Genomic DNA, 22,836 nt, shown 5'->3' on the forward strand with positions numbered 1-22,836 from the left:
ATGTGTGTGTGTGTGTGTGTATATATATATATATATATATACACACACACACATAGAGGGACTTCTCCATGCTTTAGTAGACAGACAATAACTTGTAAAACAATCTGCTTTTTCTTCTGTATAATCTTTACTTTTTTATCATATCATCTTTGTACTACTTCTGTGGTTGCTTTCAATTTTCCATTTTAACCTATCTCATTAATTATATCTGTCTTATGGACGCATTTAAAAAAATTTTTTGAGACAGGGTCTCGCTGTTTCACCCAGGCTGGAGTGCAGTGGCGCGATCATAGCTCACTGCAGCCTCTACCCACTGGGCTCAAGCAGTCTTCCTGCTTCAGCCTCCGGAGAAGCTAGGACTACAGGCTTGCACCACCATGCCTGGCTAAGCATTTTTAATTAACAGGATGATAGACTATTACTTCCCTAAAAACACAGTTCAAGTGGGAGTACTCCTCCTCAGCACTGCTGACATTTGGGGCTTGATGATTCTCTGTGCTGGGGCTGTCTTGTGCACTCTTGGGTGCTGAGCAGCATCCCAGGGCTCCACCCACTGGATGTCAGCAGCACTTGCCCTCTCCTATTGTGATAACCAAAAATGTCTTTAGACATTGCCAAATGTCCCCTGAGGGTGGAGGCAGAATTGCTCCCAGTTGAGAACCATTGCTCTAAAGCCACTCAATAGCCTAATGAATATGTGATTATTTCCAATTTTGAAAAATTTCTTGGCCTATCACATAGTTTGTGAAATTTCTCTTACCCATACTTTATTATTTACCATCTCTACATCTGGCATATGAACATATTGCTTCTAGGAAATGGAATGTTGAGTAACCTTAGCAGGTGCTCATAAAATATACATTCCTTCATTTTTTTTTTTTTTTCACTAAGTCTTGCTCTGTTTCCCAGGCTGGAGTGCAGTGGCGACATCTCGGCTCACCCCAGCCTCCACCTCCCAGATTCAAGCAATTCTCCTGCCTCAGCCTCCCGAGTAGATGGGACTACAGGCGCATGCCACCAGGCGTGGCTAATTTTTGTATTTTTAGTAGGGACGGAGCTTCACCATGTTGGTCAGGCTGGTCTCGAACTCCTGATCTTAAGTGATCCGCCCACCTCAGCCTCCCAAAGTGCTGGGATTACAGGCATGAGCCACTGTGCCTGGCCTAAAATGTACATTCTTTTTTAAGAGCTGTGGCCACTGAGACTCATTCTAGTAGAATATATGACAAACCTCCTACATTAAAGACAGTTTTAAAAACAGTTTAACTATTTTTAAAACATTTAAAAATGAAGTTTATTACATTTTTTCAAAATGAAAGTAATACACACTCCAAATATTGGGGAAATCAGAAGAAAAAGGAAACATTTAAAAAGCCACCTACATTCTTATCACCAAAGAAGACATGATTGATATTTAGTGCATTTCCTTTTTGTCTTTTAGGTCTTTTAAAAAGATGCATTTTCGGTTGTATTGTTTTGGTTTCTTTTTCAACACAGACTCCCAAGTGTTCCTAGGGTCTGTGGGTCTCTTTTCTTGTAGCACTGGCTCATCCCCTGGGTGAGGAGTTAGTTGGTTTATCCTTTCACACAGGAAATATTTCTTAAGTGTCCACCATGTGCTGATACCATCCTAGAAGCTCAGAGTCCAGGGATGACAGCACACTGCCTCTGCCCTCTGTGAACTTACATGCAGGCATTTTGGTGTCTGATGATTTCTGGTCCAAACTGAGAGCAGATGTTTCACCCTGGTAGAGAATTGCAAAGAGCTTTCTTGCTGGTTGTTCTTCCATTCACAGGCTTTTGCCTGTTCTTAGCACCTCTACCCACAAAGTTTGAAGCCTCCTGTAAGTCTGTAATAGAGTTCCAAAGTGGCCTAGCAGAACCTTTCTGAGGAGAGTAGCAGTTGCCACTGTGGGAACAGCAAGGTGCATAGCTCAGGCTTCTGGCTCTGACCCTAGCTGATGCCTATATTTTTGCTTGGCAGTAAATACCTTGTGTGCTTTCCTTCCTGATGCCTCCTATGTGAGATAGGTTCAGTTTTATGTGGCAGGCAGAACCAGATACACTGACATTTAGTAGACCTACTCATCCGTTCATTCATATGTGCATTTGGCAAATATCTGTTTTGTGTCTACTGTGTGTTAGGCATTGTCCAGGCACTGGGAGTGCACTGGTGAGCAAGAGTTCATTGAGCTAGTGGCTGTTAGAATCAGGGCTTCTAACCCAATCAGTAGGTTCAAAGGAGATATAAGCATGTTATTTATTTTATTGTAGCAAGTGGATCGACCATTTATTAAATTGTATTTGGTTTTAGAAGGGGTTCAGCAAATCCATGTCATCAACTCTTGATTGGGGTTTGCAACTTGATCCAATCCTGACATTCACTCAGTGGTTGAAATTGATGGAAATCCTGTTAGTGGGACTTTAAGAGAATCGGCTGGTCTATGGGAATGAGCAAATAAGTGTGTGTTGCCAGTTGCCTCCCTGCCTTAGTGGGTAAGGACAGAATCATCTTGGTTTAGGAGAGAAGTACGTAGTATATATCGAACAGTCTACATTTGAAAACGCGTTGTGCCTCAGAGTCGTCTGGTATTTGTGGCAGAATCATACCCCATTTGATGTAACTTGATTTAACCTGACCCATGTAATGTGAAGGCATTTGCCCAGCAGGCCCTCTGTTCCTCTTTTAAACAGAGACCCTTTTTCAGACTCAGCCTGACCCCAGATGCTGCCAGTTTTCCATTAGAGTACTCTATTGCACTAAATGGCCTTAGAGGAGGCAGTTAGAATTTTATTTTTGAAAGAACAATATAGGTGAATAGTAGTCTTTGAGAAGGTAAGAAGTGTATTATGGGAACCAGGATCCATTTTAAAGCAAGCCTTGCTGTACATTTTCCCTAACCTTTTCCCATGAACCAAAAGAAAGATTAAAATTCCAACAGAAGGAAAATCGCCTTGGAGAAATATCTTGAGACCGATGGATTTATTTCATGTGTGGCTTAAAATAGCCTGGGTTTCTAGCACCGCGTTAAGCTGTATTTCTAATGAGTTCCTGTTACCCTACTTTTCTTCAGCTTTCTTTCACATGGCCTTTTCTATAGACAGAAATAGGCTAATTGCTACCATAACAGTTTTACTATCTTTCTTTGAGGGATCCACAAAATGGCCCATTTTTAAGACAGGAGATCCGAAGGGTTGAGGGGGGATGCAGCTTTTCTGGGGTTGTTTCTTTGGACCCAAGGGTCGCGTTTGGGATTGAGCTGCATTTCTGGGCTGTGAGCCTGGGCTGGCCGTATTGGTTTCTTGTTCCTCCCAGGATTCATAATGCCATTTGGGCCAGTTATAAGTTAGTTCGTAAAAAGAAAAACAATGTATTAAGGTCATCGGGCAGCTAAGTAAGTTTCTTGTCACCTCAAACTCCAGCCCATGATGAGGTGAAGGAGCGTAAGGAAAGCCAGAGTGGAGGGCCCTGGGCTGTTTGGGGTGCCCGGAGTCTGCGGTGAAGCAGTGAATGTCCCCAAAGGGGCCATCTGGGTCAGGCCCATCTTGCCAGACTTTGGCAACAAATGATCCGGTCACAGCAGGGGACCCTCACACAGCATTAGCTGCAGAGAGATGCCAATTCCACAGATGTTTGGCTAAAGCCCCTTATTAAGAATGTGTGGTTCATCCTCCAAACCCCTTTTCTGTGGGATTCTAGATGGTGTGTGTGAGTGTGGGGTGGGGAATTGCTCAGCAAGGGGTTTTTGTGTGGCTCATTGTTCCTGCTCACCCCATTCTAGAGAACGCCAGACAGAGGCAGGAGGGCATTGTGAGCAATTCCATCATGTACTTCACGGAGGAACCCCCCGAGCTGCCGGCCAACAGCCCACATCCCCTGAAGCTGCGGCGCATCCTGAACCTCAGCCCGTTTACAGTGACAGACCACACTCCGATGGAAACGGTGGTGGATATCTTCCGGAAACTGGGGCTTCGGCAGTGCCTGGTGACGCGGAGCGGGTGAGTAGCCGGACATGTGGCCAGAATGACCTAGGGAGAAAAAGATGAGTGAGACATGGTCTCAGCCCTGAAGAATGTGGAGGGCCATGGGGTGGAATAGTCCTTGACAGAGAATGGCAGTAAGCTGTGGTGAATGTGTTGAGGAGGAAATGTACAGGGAGCTTGGGACTGAGGGCTGGGCAGCCGTGCAGCCAGAGAAGGGGGTGGTCCAGGCTGGACTGCTGCCTGGGCTGAGGGAGGTTGAGTAAAAAGGGGTGGAGCCACAGGAGAAGGGCTTGGTGTTGCTTTTCTACCACCCCATGTGACACTTGGCTTAGGGAGGAGGTTCTGCTATAACGTGATGTATGCGGTCCTCAAAATCACAGCACTACGCAAAAAGTGCTCCATGCAAACCACAGGACTTGTGGGAAAAATGGGGTTAGGTACACAACAGTCAAAAACTTCATCAGTGATATATGACATAAAAGAGGTGGAAGCCTAATAAGAATGGTAGTACCGAGCCAGGTGCAGTGAGTGGCTCGTGCCTGTAATCTCAGCACTTCGGGAGGCTGAGGTGGAGGATCACTTGAGCCCAGGAGTTCGAGACCAGCCTGGGTCGCAAGACCCTATCTCTACAGATAAATTTTTATAAAATCAGCCAAGTGTGCCCATAGTCCCAGCTACTTGGGAGGCTGAGACAGGAGCATCACTTGAGCCCAGGCTTCCAAGGCTGCAGTGGCCCAGGATTGCACCACTGCACTCCAGCCTTGGCAGCAGAATGAGACCCTGTCTTGTAAAAAGAATAGTGGTAGTACCATGTTACACATTAGTTAAATGGTTAAGAAATACAGGGATACAACAGAAATATGTCACTTCATCTTAAAAAGGCCTGAAGTTGGCTGTGGGGTGGGTTTCACAAGCTGTGCCACTTCCGAATTACCGGGAAGGGGTGGAAGGAGGGGAGCCTGAACTCAAGGGGAAGTGGTCACAGCAGGTGTGGATGGGCATGGCTCTTCACGCATGCATGAACTGAGGTCGCTTGTGGATGTTTGGGGGCCGGGCATGTGCATTTTGTGTATGCCGATCCCACTGGGTTCAGCTGGGTACAGTTTCCTGCATTTGCCTAGAGCTTCTCATGGATGAAATCACACATAAGCAAAGGTAAAATTCATATTATGCTCAGATTGTTCCTGATATATCAATTTGTTTGAAACAACTTTGTTTTCGAAACAAACATGATTGGAGAATGGAGAGATTTGATGGCCCCATGGCATTGTCCCTGCTGCCACTTTTGTTTTGTGTTGTCACAAATCAGGAAACCAACAATGCAAAGATCGAGGGTCCACTGTAGTAGCACCAGAGAAGCAGTTCCTTAAAGGTCATTCCTTGGCCTCTGAGTGTCACAAGTTCCATGGTGTCAGAAGCTTGTGTAAGGGAAGGGGTCGGCTTGGTCAGGGTAGCCTGGAACCTAGGGTTATCTGCCCATTTTATTCCTTTATGGGCTGGGAGTAGGAGGCGGGGAATGGGTTCTGGAGACATTGGTACCTAATAAAGTTTAGGCCTTTATAGACTCCAGAGGCTCAACTATCTAATATAGCTTATATTTCCAGAGCCAGCACACTCTAGTTTAACACAGCAGTTCTCAACTGGGATGATTTTACCTCCCAGAGACATTGGGCAATGTCTGGAGACAATTTGGGGTGTCATGACTGGAGGGAGGGATGCTATTGGCATCTAGTGAGTAGAGGTCAGGGGCGCTGCTAAACATCCTGCAGTGAACAGGACAGCTCCACAACAAAACATCTGGCCCAAAATGTCACTAGTCGTGCAGTTGAGTGACCTTGGACTGGATGTGCCTGTATAGCCAAATGAGCAATCCTATTCATTCCACTTTCTTCCTGCTGTCCTGGTAGCAAGCACACAGGGGGACAGGCTTTGCAATTTGCAGATTTACCCAGAGAACTCCTGGCCAGCAGAGTGAGCATCCTCCTTAGCTCTGACTACAGACAGAGCAGTGTCTTGCATGTGGGAGGTGCAATCAATAGGGAAAAATAAATGAGTCCTTGTGTTTGACAAGGCTAGGGATCATTTCTGCTGATGAATTTTAAAGGAGCTCAAGTGGTTTTTCAAACTTGAGTGTGGATCAAAATACCCTGGAGGATTAAACCTCCAGGTTAAATCCAGATTTCTGGGCCCTGCCACAGAGGTACTGATCCCTGGAAGTCTAGGGTGAGGCCCAAGAATATTCTTTCCTAACAAGCTCCCAGGTGATGCTGCAACTGCCGGTCTGGGGACCCCACCTTGAGAACCACTGAAGTCGATTTATGCACTTGAGTTTCCAGTACTCTTGGTATAAACACCACTGTGATTGCCCATGCTGTCTCAAGTGTGTAGCAGTTTCTCCTTTCCTTTAAAACAATAATCCAAAGTCAATTATCGTTGGAATTTCAGCTCAGGCAGGAAACTCTGCCCTTAATGCCCGCTCACACCTCATAGAGCCCCATGAGGTCTTCCTGTGAAGATCTGGGTGCCGAAATTGGCTCTGAATGTGCTTCAAGAAAGCAAAATCGCACTCTCTCTCGCTCTACATCTTTTACACAAACACAGATGCTGCTGCGTTAGTGCTGGCAAGGGATGCTTGTCTGCGGGGCCTTTCATCTCCTTGGGCTTCTTGCCAGGGCAGGCACGTCTCTGGCCAGCTCTCATGTTTGATGTGCTCGCCCACCCTGTACCTTCCCTGCTCGGGATGGCCACGAGCCTGAGCTCCACCGCTGGCCTGGATCACCTGCAGCATTTCTCAGGCCTGGGGTTCAAGGGGCATCATAAAACTGGACCAGGAATCGGAATGCCGCAATCTAGGAAGCCTCCAGTTGCTAAGAGTGAATTTGGGTGAGATTTTCCCTATGAAAGTTCTAGAAAGGAAAAGTGAGTAAGGGAGATGGTGTCAGATTTTCCCCAAGCCCTGCTAGGTGGTCCACAGGGGCCTGGACAGGATAGCTTTCGCAGAAGAGCCCAGCTGCTCGAATTTGAATTATGTCCTTGGTCATAGATCTGGCCATTTATAATTCGCTGAATTCGCTTCAACTGCTACTCAAAGGGGCTGGAAGTTCAAACACTTGATTTAAATCAAATAGGACATTTCATGCCACTAACGAAGCCTGCTGGATTTGATGTTACCTCCTTCTGGGTTGATGTTCAGCTTTCTTCTTTTGTGATAATTACCATCGCGGGCCAGGGCACAATTTATGCACGAACCCAAGGCAGCTCCTGAATTCATATTTCCCTAGTGCTGTTATAATCAACTTAACTTTTAGACATTACAGTCACAGAGCTTTAAAAGGAGGTTTTCAGAACTGCAAATGCTTGATCTTTTGATACTGTCTCCAGGGTGAAGACAAGGAAACAAAAACCAGGATTTATAGATATGGGAGGGTTCCGTGTGTGTGTGTGTGTGTGTGTGTGTGTGTGTGTGTGTGTATGTGAGTGTGTGTGTGTTATAGTTATCATCACTTTGCAAACACTAACAAGTCTTATTTTTTTCAAAGCAACATTGGTTTAATCAACATTATATTGAGCATCTATTTTAGCTGGGAACTGTAGGGGGCACAAAAAGTGTTTAAAAAAAAAAAAGCCAAGGAGCTTGTTATCTACTAAAGAACATGGACATAATCCAGTTTAAGTGGTGCTACCCAAGGCAGGCGCTCCGGGGGGACTGTTCTGTTTTTTCTTTTTTAATTTAATTTAATTTAAAGTTCCGGGATACATGTGCAGGAAGTGCAGTCTTGCTACATAGGTAAACGTGTGCCATGGTGGTTTCCTGCACCTACCAACCCATCACCTAGGTAGGTAGCCCCATATGCATTAGCTATTTATCCTGATGCTCTCCCTCCCCACATCCACGACAGGCCCCAGTATGTGCTGTTCCTCTCCCTGTGTCCATGTGTTCTCATTGTTCAGCTCCCACTTGTAAGTGAGAACATACAGTGTTTGGTTTTCTGTTCCTGTGTTATTTTGCTCAGGATAATGGCTTCCAGCTCCATCCATGTCCCTGCAAAGGACATGATCTCATTCCTTTTTATGGCTGCATCGTATTCCATGGTATATATGTGCCACATTTTCTTTATCCAGTCTATCACTGATGAGCATTTGGGTTGGTTCCATGTCTTTGCTATTGTGAATGGTGCTGCAGCGAACATACGTGTGTATGTATTTTTATAATAGAGTGATTTATATTCCTTTGGGTATATACTCAGTAATGGGATTGCTGGGTCAAATGGTATTTCTGGTTCTAGGTCTTTGGGGAATCGCCACACTGTCCTCCATAATGGTTGAACTAATTTACATTCCCACCAACAGTGTAAAAGCATTCCTGTTTCTCCACACTCTTGCTCCACACCAGCATCTGTTGTTTCTTGACTTTAATAATTGCCATTCTGACTGATGTGAGATGGCATCTCATTGTGGGTTTGATTTGCATTTCCCTAATGATCAGTGATGTGGAGCTTTTTCTCATATGTTTGTTGGCTATATAAATGTCTTCTTTTGAGAAGTGTCTGTTCATGTCCTTTGCCCACTTTTTGATGGGGTTGTTTTTTTCTTGTAAATTTGTTTAAGTTCCTTGTAGATTCTGCATATTAGACCTCTGTCAGATGGATAGATTGCAAAATTTCTCCCATTCTGTAGGTTGTCCGTTCACTCTGATGATAGTTTCTTTTGCTGTGCAGAAGCTCTTTAGTTTAATTAGATCCCATTTGTCAACTTTTGCTTTTGTTGCAATTGCTTTTGAGGTTTTCGTTATGAAATCTTTGCCCATGACTATGTCCTGAATGGTATTGCCTAGATTTTTTTTCTAGGCTTTTTATCGTTTTGGGTTTTACATTTAAATCTTTAATCTATCTTGAGTTAATTTTTGTGTAAGGTATAAGGAAGGGGTTCAGTTTCAATTTTCTGCATATAGCTAACCAATTCTCCCAGCATCATTTATTAAATAGGGAGTCCTTTCCCCATTGATTGTTAGCTTTGTCAAAGATCAGGTGGTTGTAGATATGTGGTCTTATTTTTGAGATCTCTATTCTGTTCCATTGATCTATGTACCAGTACTGTACTGTTTTGGATACTGTGGCCATGTAGTATAGTTTGAAGTTGGGTGGCATGATGCCTCCAGCTTTGTTCTTTTTGCTTAGGATTTTCTGGGCTATATGGACTCTCCACCTCAAAACAACAGAATATACATTCTTCTTGGCGCCACATGACACTTACTCTAAAATCAATCACATAATTGGAAGTGAAACACTCCTCAGCAAATGCAAAACAACTGAAATCATAACAAGCGGTCTCTCAGACCACAGTGCAATCAGATTAGAACTCAAGATTAAGAAACTCACTCAAAACCACCACACAACTACATGGAAATTGAACAACCTGCTCCTGAATGACTCCTGGGTAAATAATAAAATTAAGGCAGAACTCAAGAAATTCTTTGAAACCAATGAGAACAAAGAGACAACATACCAGAATCTCTTGGACACAGCTACAGCAGTGTTAAGAGGGAAATTTATAGCACTAAATGCCCATATCAAAAAGCTAGAAAGATCTCAAGTCAACACCCTAACATCATAACTAAAAGAACTAGAGAACCAAGAGCAGACAAACCCCAAAGCTAGCAGAAGACAAGAAATAAGCAAGATCAGAGCAGAACTGAAGGAGACAGAGATACAAAAAACCCTTCGAAAAATCAACAAACCCAACAAATCCAGGAGTTGTTTTTTTGAAAAAATTAATAAAATAGACTGCTAGCTAGAGTAATAAAGAAGAAAAGAGAGAAGAATCGAATAGACACAACAAAAAATGATACAGGGGATATCATCACTGACCCCACAGGAATACAAACAACCATCAGAGAATACTGTATCACCTCTATGTAAATAAACTAGAAAATCTAGAAGAAATAGATAAATTCCTGGATGCATACACCCTCCCAAGACTGAACCAGGAAGAAGTTGAACCCCTGAATAGACCAAGTTCTGAAATTGAGGCAGTAATAAATAGCCTACCAACCAAAAAAATCCCAGGACCAGACAGATTTACAGCTGAATTCTTTGTACCAGAGGTACAAAGAGGAACTGGTACCATTTCTTCAGAAACTATTCCAAACAATTGAAAAGGAGGGACTCCTCCCGAACTCATTTTATGAGGCCAGCATCATCCTGATACCAAAACCTGGCAGAGATACAACAAAAAAAGAAAACTTCAGGCCAATATCCCTAATGAACATTGATGCAAAAATCCTCAATAAAAAAAAATAATGGCAAACTGAACCCGGCAGCATATCAAAAGGCTTATTCACCACGATCAAGTCAGCTTCATCCCTGGGGTGCAAGGCTGGTTCAACATACACAAATCAATAAACGTAATTCATCACACAAGCAGAATGAAAGACAAAAACCACATGGTTATCTCAATAGATGCAGAAAAGGCCTTCGATAAAAATAACATCCCTTCATGTTAAAAACTCTCAATAAACTAGGTATTGATGGAACATACCTCAAAATAATAAGAGCCATTTATGACAAACCCACAGCCAATATCATACTGAGTGGGCAAAACCTGGAAGCATTCCCCTTGAAAACCAGCACAAAACAAAGATGCTCTCTCTCACCATTCCTATTTAACATATTGTACAATTCACCCATTTAAAATGCATGATTCAGTGGTTTTTAGTAGAAAATGGGTTGTGCATTAATCACCACAATTTTAGATCATTTTCATCACCCCAAAAAGAAACCCCACACCCCTTAGCTGTTACCTCCTATACCACAGTCCTTGGCAACCACTACTCTATATTTTCTGTCTCTGTGGACTTGCCTATTCTGGACATTTCATGTCAATACAGTCATGCACTATGTGGCCTTTTGTATTTGGCTTCTTTCACTGAGCATCATGTTTTCAAGGTTCGTCCACACTGAAGATGTGTCTGTACTTCTTTCCTTGTTAGGGCTGAATCATCTTGCATTGTGTGGATAGACCACATTTTGCTGATCAATTCATTAGTTGATGGACATTTGGTTTCCCTTTTTTTCTTTTTTTTAAATTATTTTTAATTTTTGTGGGTACATAGGAGTATATATTTATGGGTATATGGTATATTTTGATACAGGCATGTAATGCATAATAATCATATCAGGGTAAATGGGGTCTCCCAGCACCTCAAGCATTTATCCTTCGGGTTACAAACATTCCAATTCTTTTAGTTATTTTTAAATGTACAGTTAAATTATTGATTGTAGTCACCCTGTTGCACTATCAAATACTAGATCGTATTCATTCTTTTAAACTATTTTTTGTACCCATTAACCATCCTCCATCCCCTCCTCCCCCCTCCCCCATTCCCCTTAGTTTTCAAATGAGGAGGTGAGACTCTAAGAAGCAAAACACTGCTCAGGGTTAAAGGGAATTGGTTGCAGAGCCAGTCCCATCTGGATTCTTCCAGGTCTCCTATCTCCTGAGGCACAATCAGCTGCCAGGTACCGGGAGGACCTTTGATGGAGAACCCTGCCAGCCGACCCTGACCCTTGAGGACATCAATCCCCTCCGTACAGCACCCTCTGGGACCAACGACAGTGGGGAGTAGACCTGGGCGTGATGGGAAGATATGTGGCAGCATCCTTAAGTATCCAGATTCCTGGAATGGCTGCATTTTGGGATACCTGTTCAGTAAAATACAGAGGATATGGGGCCAGGTAACGGGATTCCTGTGTCCCATGCTGACGGTGTATTATAGATTCACCCACAGAGGTCTATTTGTGTCTGAAAGCTTCTGGCTGGGAGTAATAGTCAAAGTGTTTAAGAGCTGGTGCCAGATAATGAACTGATTTGTTATGAATTGTGGGGAGTTCACTGCAGTTCTATAAGGTATGAGGTTGGCAGGGTACATCCCAGGGTGTCTAGCTCAGTGGCTATAAACCAACCGGTGTAGAACTATTTTAGTACTTTTTAATCTGGATGGTGGTTCTCAACCAGGGGCTATCTTGTCCCCCCTCCACAGGAGACATTTGGCATTGTCTGGAGACATTTTGGTTGCCATAATGGGGGATGGGGATGCTGCTGCATCTAGTGGGTAGAGGCCCAGGATGCTGCTGTATGTTCTACAGTGCACAGAATGGCCTATCTGCAACAAATAATTAGCCAACCTAAATGTCACTAGTGCCAAGGTGGAGAAACCCTGCGTAAAGCCTTCCCAGGTGGAGGGCTGGATGGGTGGAAGGAGTCCTATTGGCCCAGCTTGCATTTTGCTGCTACCGCATGGGAGGGGGCCTCACTGGGGATTCCTATCTGCCTGTAAATAGAGGCCCTTCCCAGTAACAAAGCCGCCTTTCCTAGCTGTCACTGCTTTCTTGAAATTAATTAGAATTATCAGAGCTAGAACAAAATTTCCTGACTCTGGGAGGAAACCTTGTTTAAAAACATTTATTTAAATTTTTGTGGGTACATAGTAGATGTGTATATTTATGGAACACATGAGATTTTTAAAATATATATATATATATATTTTATTATACTTTAAGTTCTAGGGTACATGTGCACAACGTGCAGGTTTGTTACATATGTATACATGTGCCATGTTGGTGTGCTGCACCCATTAACTCATCATTTACATTAGGTATATCTCCTAATGCTATCCCTCCCCCGTCCCCCCACCCCACTACAGGCCCCGGTGTGTGATGTTCCCCTTCCTGTGTCCATGTGTTCTCATTGTTCAATTCCCACCTATGAGTGAGAACATGCGGTGTTTGTTTTTTTGTCCTTGTGATAGTTTGCTCAGAATGATGGTTTCCAGCTTCATCCATGTCCCTACAAAGGACATGAACTCATCCTTTTTTATGGCTGCATAGTATTCCATAGTGTATATGTGCCACATTTTCTTAATCTAGTCTATCATTGTTGGACATTTGGGTTGGTTCCAAGTCTTTGCTATTGTGAATAGTGCTGCAATAAACATACATGTGCATGTGTCTTTATAGCAGCATGATTTATATTCCTTTGGGTATGGAACACATGAGATGTTTTGATACTGGCATGCAATGCATAATAATCACATCATAGAGAATGGGGCATCCACCCCCTCAAGCATTTACCCTTTGTGTTACAAACTATCCAGCTGTACTCTTTTCATACACCTGTTTGCTATTTGTATGTCTTCTTTTGAGAAATGTCTATCCAAATATTTTGCCCGTTTTTTTGATCAGATTATTAGATTTTTCCCTATAGAGTTGTTTGAGCTCCTTATATATTCTGCTTATTAATCCCTTGTCAGATGGGTAGTTTGCTAGTGTTTTCTCCCATTCTGTGGGTTGTCTCTTCACTTTGTTGATTGGGAAACCTTTATTTCTTATGTGGGCCTCTGGCTCTGACATGCCTCAAGTCTGGAGGCCTGGACTGCTCTTCTCAGCAGCAATACATGGCTGCCAAAGCAAAAGGGCAACTCTAATGAGACCGGGGCCCACTAAAGCTTTTGCAACCGTAGAAGCAGGGTGATTTGGCGAAGTATTGGGTAACAGTGCCCTTGAGAAAATGTGTATCTCTGGTTGATTGATTGCAATGGGCCCTCATTATGACAGTTGAGCCCGAAGCAGCTAAAACAAATCAGGATGGAAAGAAATGGTTTCAGGCTCTGCCAGCTGGACCCAGCAACCTTCCTGTGTGAGGAGACCAGAGCCCTTGTTGGGCCTTGAATCTGTCAACTGTGTTCATACTCACAGATGGGTTTTCCCAGGAGAACTCAGCATCTCACCGCAAAGAAGAGTGCTAACATTTGTTTCCTTTAGGTAGCTCTTGTTTCAGGATTATAACAACATTTAGGCTTACAGAACAATTGAGCAAAATATGCAGAGTTCTCATATATCCCCTTCACTCCCCTCAGTTTCCCCTATTGTCAATATCTTGCATTACTGTTGTATTTGTTGTAATTGATGAACCAATATCAATACATTATTATTAACTAACATCCATAGTTTACTTTAGAGTGTACTCTGTGTCATATATTTCTGTGGATTTTGACAAATATATAATATCATGTGTCCACCATTACAGGATGATACAGAGTAGTTTCACTGCCCTAAAAATCCCCTGTGCTCTGCCTATTTATCCCTCTCTTCCACCCACCAAACCCTGACAACCACTGATCTTTTTACTGTCTCCATAGTTTAGCCTTTTCCAGAATGTTGCATATTATGTAGTTGGAATCATTCAGTATGTAGCCTTTTCAGACTGGCTTCTTTCACTCAGCAATACACATTTTGATTTTTCTCCACGTCTTTTCATGACTTGATAGCACTTTTGTTTTTATTGCTGAAGAATATCCATTGTCTGGATATGCCATGGTTCAGTTTATCCAGTCACCTACTAAAGAAAATGTTGGTTGCTTCCAGGTTTTGGCAATTATGAATGAAGCAGACGTCTTCTAAGACGTTTTCTTTACATAACTACCAAACCATGATGATGTAAAATTAACAGTAACTCAATATATCATCCAATATCCAGTTGATATTCATTCAAATATCAACTCAGAATTCCATCAAGGTTTGTGCATTGCATTCTTTTGCCTTTTTAGTCTCTTGTCTAGAACAGTTTCCTGCCTTGTTGTTGTTTTTTTAATGAGAGATTTTTAAACATAATTCCAAATTTTATTTTAGACACAGGAGATACATGTGCAGGTTTGTTACTTGCAAAGATTTCCTTTGAAGAGTCCAGACCAGTAGTCTCACATTCTGGGTCTGATTACTTCCTCATGATTCAGTTTGGCATAAGTCGTTTTTGGCAGCATTCCAACATAGGTAACGCTATGGAGTCTGCTTTTCTGACTTTGTTGATGATAAGCTCCATTGCTCGGATGAGGTGGTGATGGCCAGAACCCTCCATTGTAAAGTGACATTTTTCTCTTTGTTCATAATCTGTAGGAAAGTACTTTGAGACCATGTGAATTTTCTGTTTTCCAGCAACCATTCGCCCAGTGATTTTGGTATCCATTGACAATTATTGCCTAAGCTAACTATTACATTGGGGGTTGCAAAGTATTAATTATCAAATTCTGTCCTGCTTCCTACGTTTATCAAGTATTCCTCCCCATTTAAGAAAAACAATCCCTGTAGGGTCATGATATATTCTTTTAATGTTTTTGTAATTCATATTGTCATTATTCTGTTTGCTTAGCATGCTCTTTCACTATTTTCCTCTCTCCTAAAGATGTTGCCATGAGATGGAGGGGAAGGGGTCTTATTTGCTGTCTCTCTCAGTGTGATACATAGGGAAACCAACACAAGAAACGGATACCTTTTCCAAGACTGTTTAAGGTCCAGTGTTGTCAGAGCCAAAAAAGTCAGAATTCTGGCCTGACAGTTTGAATAATCAGTGTCTATTTCACCAGGTGTAACTGATTTGAATACTGCTTAGAATACTTACATCCCTTCTTCATATTCACTAAGAGATAAATTTGACTAATTTTGCCTTAATTAAATAAATGACAGTATATTACAGTTAGGTTTTCTGATTTCTTTTGTATATTATCATATTACACAGAGTAGAAACCCATTATTTTAATAGCTATAAAGTATTTTAATGCAAGACTACCAGAGTTTGCTTCTGCATACCCCTTTTTTGGGGGGTACAGTGGAGATACAGTGAGTAGTGTTTTGCAAACTTATGTGGGAATGGAGCTTCTTTTTTTCCAAAGAAGTTGTTCACTTCTCCTTCTCTCAGACCTTTCATTTTACCCAAGGGACATGATGTGTTCCTGCAGGTGGTCATTTAGTAAAATAATGAAACAAGGCTTGCTATGAATGGTTGTGCAAATGTGCACTGTATAATCCAGAGGGCACAATTTCTACTGCAGTGTTTGTGAGCAGTGCTCCTTGGCACTGTGTGATATACAGTCTTGGTGGTCCCATACAATGGACTCTGGGAAGTGGCATTCTTTTTGTAAGTTGAAAGCAATGGAATTTTGGAAGAGAAGGCAATTTACGTATATAGTCAGAGATAAATGTCAACTTTATCCTCCCAGTAAGAATTACAAATAGAATCACTTTTTATCTTGTACTTAAAATTTCTTATACTTAAAATACCTTACACTTGGCATTCCTGTGGTGTGGTCAAGTTTTGACAATGCCTTTCATAAACCCTTTTAAAATTGATTATAGTCTTGAAATTTAAGAGGATATAGTAGTCATCATAGGTTTACTGCCGTAATAAACAAGCTTGCAATCTCTGTGGCCTAATGCAATAAAGGTTTATTTTTCTCACATGTTACATCCACTGTGGATTGCAGGTGGGCTCTGGACCTAGGTGTTTGAATCTGGTGGCTCCTAAGTCAATCCTCAGAGCCCTTCACTGGCTCCTGTGCCTCTGGCTGCCAGATGAGAAGAGAGAGTGGGGGGAAATGCACAGGAGACCTGGGAGCAGCATCTGTCACTTCCACCCACAGGCATTGGCCAGTGCTCCCTCCATTGGCTCTGCCTAACCACAAGGGAGGCTGGGAAATGTTGTCTGTCTCTGTGTCCACATGGAAAAGGCACTGGGGTTTAGGGAGAGGGATGAGTCGTCGTTTCAAGGCTGACCTCTTTTCTCTATTTTGTTTCTTCTCCAGGAGACTTCTTGGCATCATCACAAAAAAGGATGTTCTGAGACATATGGCCCAGATGGCAAACCAGGACCCCGAATCCATCATGTTTAATTAGCAACAAGGTGGCAATTATTTTCAGAAAAACACTGACTGTGTCATTTAAAAAGAAATAAATGATATGTTATTATCCCAATGAAAGATCATGCATTGGGGACAGCAGAAACAAAAGCTTTTTTGGAAAGGCGGGGAAGAAGGATGAAACCTTTAAAAACAAAAACAAAAACATCAATGAGTAGGCATTTTATAGCTTTAACCCCGTATGAGTTTCAAGCTGTGTTTCCTAATGAGTTTGCTACTGCTGTGGGGGCATGTGGGTGGGTAAATGATGTAAATGATGTGATCTGTACAAGTATGTGGAGCATGAATGCTGACTCAAGAAACTTTTACTCCTTCTGCTCAAGGCTGATGTTTGTAACTTATGAACACACGTGAAGTGTTGAGTCCAAAAGACAAAGGGGCATCGGCATGTCAGCGTCCTTATTTATTGGTTCTTGAAGTTTTGCTGCTATGTTACTGAATCATACTAAAGACATTTGCGCTTACTTTGTTGAAAAAGAAAAAGAAATTAAATTTGAACACAGTGAAAGCTGCAAGTATGCCAGTGGGTCCGCTCACGACCGTCCTGTTTCTTGCTCCTGTTCTCAGCCTGTTATCTGGCTTATCCATCAGTTTCTGAACCAACATCAGGGGCACCTGCCATGATGAGTGTGAAGAAATCATTTCTCTATGCAAGACTGGCATCCTGGGACTGCACGATGAACTATTGGAGCATACAGTACTGCGGTGTGTCTCCTCCCATACAAAGGGACACATCCTTATTTTGAGGGTATACTCACCCGATCATTGATTTGCATCCCCATGGCATTTGCTTCATTTATTTATTGCTTTTGCCCATGCATTCAATATTGATCAGCTCAGCACTTCCATGGGCCATAGCCGGTATGCCCCCAGCCTGCCATAAGCGTGCTTTCATTTTCAAGTAGCATATGCAAGAGTCCAAACAGGCTACCCAATGTTACTACTTATTTTTCCTCTCAGGTCTTATCAGATACGGCTGTGGAGAGGATGAGGCATATGCGTTGTCAGTTGGAATCCCTCCAAATGGATTGCAAGAGAAATACTAAATTGATTCTAAATCTGTTCCATTATCTTCTCTGTAGGATGCAAAACATCCAGTTGTAATGTATAAGCATGCACTTCATACTAGCAATCACAGCACAGGAGGACAGCATTAAATTTTATATAGCCAATTTGGGCACTGGGCATCTTTGTATTTGAACTTAACGACACATTTACTCTTTTAGTCAGGATTTCGGTCTTTTCTGCGGGAAGGAATTAAGCTATGTATTAGGTCCACCATACGATCTGTGTAAGTAAGATTATCCCACTTGCCCTTTCTCTTTAGTCTTTGTCCCTTCCTTTTCACTAAGTGCCCCTCATCCTTTTCAATCTCATTGTCACTGGATAGTGCTGTATCACTTAGGTGTGCATTCGGCTGCAAATAACAGAAAACCCAGCAAACACTGAAGGGCTGGATAAGAACCCTGAGAGGGGGTACTCCAGGACTGTCTCCATAACATCATTGGGATCCCCATCCCGTTGCTATTTCTTTTTCACCGTTTTTACCTTTTGTCCTCTGGCTTATTGCCTCAGAGTTGCAAGATGGTTCCTGAACTGTCAGGTATCATGTCTGCTTTCTAAGTGGGAAGAGGAAGGGAGAGGCAAGCAACTAGGTACAATGTCTATCAGGAAAGCAAAGCTTCCCCAGAGACGCTCAGCTTGTATCCATTGACTGGAAGTCTGTCACGTGGCTCCCCCTAGCCGCACACTAGTGTGGGAAGGAAAATATTGAGCTAGGCACATTACTCTCTGAACGAAATTCATATTATCTTATTAAGGAAGAGTGTTGGTCTTCAGGAGGGGAAGTTTGCTGTATTGGATGCCATCATCGTGTCCTTGTCATTGCCCTTCCGGTTTTCATTCTTGCTAAACCCCTGTGAATGTTCTTCTAACCTTCCTGTTCCCCACCCCTTTTCTCAGATTTGACCTAGAATTCCCAGCCCAAATCCATAATTTCTTAGCTCTAATACGAATTTTCATGTTGGACAAAAACCTAGCTACAAATGGGTTTCTATGGAACTTCTAATTAATGTGCAAAATACATATTTTCTCCAGGTTAAGAAATTTTAAGTCAGATCATGCTGACACAATAAGAAAATTTGTTTGTGTAATTCATTGACCTCTTCCTTCCAAAATAACATCAAGTAGCCACCTCAGTGTGACAATATCCAGTCAATAGTAGAGAATTTAATCCTTGGTCCTATAAAAGAATAAAATTCATTGTCGTATTTATAGCACGTAAGCCTTGAGTAACAGGTCTTAATGTTAGTGTTGGTGTTGTGGTTTCTGCGGAACGTTTACAAGTGAAGTTGGATTCTCCTGGGCTTTAAATCCAAAAAGTCTTAATGACCGCTTCATGTAGTTCCCCTCTTATTCCCCTGTGGTCTCCTCAGAGCCAGCGTGTGCTGGGAAAGAGTATTAGTCATAGCCTGGCTTTATAGAATCCAGGAGGTCCTTTTAGCTGAAACAAGTGGCTTCAAAAGGGAACATGAAACAGTGAAAAGATAGCCAAAGGTCAGTGAAACCACAGCATTTCTTTCTAATCTGGCTGAGGCCATGGGGGGGAATGAGGGGAAATTATGCTTCCGGGCCAAGGTCACCGAGGGGGACCTTGGGATTTGTGTCCTCCCCAGTGCTTAGAGTAGAGATACCTGCAAATTCATGGCAAACAGTTGGAAGAGTTACTTGACTGAAACAACCCAATCTTACTTTCTTTCGTAAGTTGAACCTCTGATTTATTGTGGGGTTCAGGCTCTCCTCAATAGAAGGCCAGAGTTGGACAGGTGGACTAAGGTCAAGGATGAGGAGTCTGCAGTGGGGACTACCACAGCAAACTGCCTTCCTTCCGTGGAGTCCTAACTCAGCCATGTGGTCCACTCACCCAGGGGCCCGGGGGCTCAGACAAACCCCATGGGGAACATGCTGCCATGCTCTGTCTTTCTTGTAAACGTAGTTGGGTAGGGATCCCAAGGGTATTTGCTCTCTCCAAATGCAGAACTTCCATCCACTTTATCTGGTGATCTGATGAACAGCATGGGGACGTGGAGGTGAAATAAGCATCTTTCAGAATAAGGTTTTTTTTTTTTTCCTCTTCCAGAACCAAAGGCTTTAGACATTTGTAGAACTTTCTGGATTCCTTCTGAATCGGGTTTTAACATAAAAAACCATCAACACATCATGGGAAAGGAGCTCTTTCATGATATACATCACATGTTTCTTGCTCTCACTGAGGAAATGTGTTGTACAAAAGCACCAAATAAGGGCACCCTGGAAGTGACATGTGTGTTTCTTCTAAGTCGTTTTTAGTGCATCCCCTGCGATTGCATGATGCTCATGTGGCTTTTAGGGAAAGGCAGAATGTGCTAGAAGTCGAAGTCATTCAATATTCAGTGCTTACTGTTACTTTGAACCAGGTAATCTCAGTTCTTTATTCAGTCCTTCCCAAAGACCTTACAAAGGAGATGTGTAAACTGATAGATTTTGAGCCTAATAAGTCACAGAAATGGAAAATTTTAGAGCAGTTTGTTTCACTTAGGTGAGAACTGATTACTTTAAATTACCAACATGTGCAAATTCTACTTAGTATTCATTATTAGATGCTAAGCTGGAAAAGATGAGAAACCCAAGGAGAACTATTGAATTACCACATAATTGTAATATTATGCTTTAATTTTGTATGGGCAGTGTTCTATCAGACTAAGCTTCTAGCCTTTGAAATGATTTACATGAGGAGAGAGCCTGTATATCTGACTTGGGAAACATTAAGCAGACCCTATTTTCACTGGCGCGGTAATAACTATTTATTTGCTATCCTAGAGGTGCTGGGAATGAGCCTACGTGCGACTTTGATGAGATATATTCACATTTGGTGTTGGAACGACCACATAGCAACGTGTTGGTTTTTTTTTATTGTAACACTCTGTGTAAACGTTGACACCTTATTAAATATTAAATGTCTGAACTCTATTTTTAAAAATAAAACAAGCACAGAGTCTGCAACAAACATGTAAATGGAAGAGATACTGATTTCACAGTGTGTTTCTACGCAGTAGAACCTCTGGAAACCTGGTCCCCATGACTTGGTAGAACTATCCAGTAAAGTTAAAGAGCCATCTTAAGACGGGCACACAGATTGTGAAGTCCATTTAGTCAGCTTTAAAATTCCTTGTTCTTGGCTGGGTGGGCGGTGACCAAATGAAAATTCAGACTGAGGCTATCAGTTTCCAAGGATTGGGTAGGAACACTGTCCTCAGGCCATCTGTGCTTGCCCTGTGTGAAGGCTGGGGAGTACGGCTTGGGTAATGGTCTAACATTCATTCATTCTTTCATCCTTTCTTTCAGGAGCAAATTTTCCCTTTATTACTTTGGGAACCACAAGGGTTGAATTATGTCTTTTCCCACAAGTATTTTTTCTTTTTTTTTGTGAAAACTTTCTACTTTACAGAAAATTTGAAAGAAAGAAAAGAAAGGAACAAAGGATGCCCACAGATCCTTGACCTAGAAGAGGTGCTATTTAATATGGGTGGTTAGAGGAGTCCCCACTGGTTAGGGGAGGGGACCAGCTGGGGGTACAGCTGGGGAAAGGGTATCCTCAGCAGAGGGGACAGCAAGTGCAAATGTCCTGAGGTGGAAATGGGCCTAGCCTGCTGGGGGCCCACCAGGGGTGGATGGCTGCAGCCTTGGGATGGGAGTGGGGGTATTTGAAGTTGGGTTTGTTTTCCCTTTGGGAGGAGGGTAGACACAGCAGATGCTTCAGGGTCTTGAAGGACCAGGTAAAGTTCTGGAATTCAGAGGAGTGACATGATTTGACTTGTGTTGTCCACAAACCATTCTGGCTGTTGGACAGCAAGACTGGAAGCCAGGGCTCCGGTTAGGAGTCTATTGCAGATACGCCAGGTGCGGTGGCTCATGCCTGTAATCCCAGCACTTTGGGAGGCCAAGGCAGGCAGATCACTTGAGGTCAGGAGTTTGAGACGAGCCTGGCCAACATGGCGAAACCCTGTCTCTACTAAAAAAATACAAAAACAAGCCAGGTGTGGTGGCAGGCGCCTGTAATCCCAGCTACTCGGGAGGCTGAGGCAGAAGAATCGCTTGAACCTGGGAGGCAGAGGTTACAGTGAGCTGAGATCGTGCCACTGCACTCCAGCCTGGGCAACAGAGCGAGACTCCATTTCAAAAAAAAAAAAAGGGTCTATTGCAAATAGGTGAGTGATGATGGGGGCTTGCCCCAGAAAAATTCTTGAATTCCAGTTATACAGTTGCCCCTCAGTATCTGTGGGGGATTGCTTTCAGGACCCCCCATAGATTCCAAAATCCATGACGCTTAAGCCCCTTATATAAAATGTTGTATTATTTGCATATGGCCCACGTACATCCTCCTGTCTGCTTTAAACGTTCTCTAGATTACTTAGAATACCTAGTTCAATGTAATGCTATGTAAATAGTTGTTACACTGCATTGTCTATGGAATAGTGACAAGAAAAAAGTCTGTACATGTTCAGTACAGATGCAACCATCCATTTTTTTTCCTGAATATTTTCAATCCACAGTTGAATCCACAGATGCAGAATCCATGGATACAGAGGGCAAACTGTATTTCCAAGGTAGAGCCAACAGATTTGCTGATGGACTGGTTATAAAATGGTACAACCAAGTTGCCACTTACTGAGATGGGCTAGACTAGGTGAGGAGCTCCCTTTTGGAAATGCTACATGAGAGATGTCTCTTAGACATTCAAGTTTGGAGCTCAGTGGAATCATTAAGTTTTGAGATATAAATCAAGCCATTGGCATATCGGTGGCATTTAAAGCCATGCCTGGAAACTTTTGTGGTCTCATGATATCCTAAAAGCAAACAGGAGAATCTTTTTTTTTTTTTTTTTTTTTTTTTTTTTTTTTTTTTTTGAGATGGAGTCTCACCCTGTCACCCAGGCTGGAGTGTGGTGGCATGATCTTGGCTCACTGCAGTCTCCGCCTCCTGGGTTCAAGCGATTCTCCTGTCTCATCCTCCTTAGTAACTAGGATTACAGCTGCATACCATCACGCCCGGCTAATTTTCCATATTTT

At 42.6% G+C, this 22,836-nt stretch overlaps 1 protein-coding gene across 2 annotated transcripts in view; it reads left to right on the top strand.

Moving 5' to 3' along the window:
• CLCN4 (chloride voltage-gated channel 4) overlaps window positions 1-20,782 on the top strand; it is an 80,686-nt gene extending 59,904 nt beyond the window's left edge. For both annotated transcript variants that reach the window (NM_001830.4, NM_001256944.2), the window contains 2 exons: window positions 3,783-3,999; window positions 16,616-20,782. In NM_001830.4, the coding sequence (NP_001821.2) occupies window positions 3,783-3,999; window positions 16,616-16,706 (308 nt within the window). In that variant the 3' untranslated portion in view covers window positions 16,707-20,782. The remainder of the gene's footprint in view (window positions 1-3,782; window positions 4,000-16,615) is intronic.

The sequence above is a fragment of the Homo sapiens genome, chromosome X (genome assembly GCF_000001405.40).
Source record: "Homo sapiens chromosome X, GRCh38.p14 Primary Assembly".
NCBI classification, from domain to species: domain Eukaryota; kingdom Metazoa; phylum Chordata; class Mammalia; order Primates; family Hominidae; genus Homo; species Homo sapiens.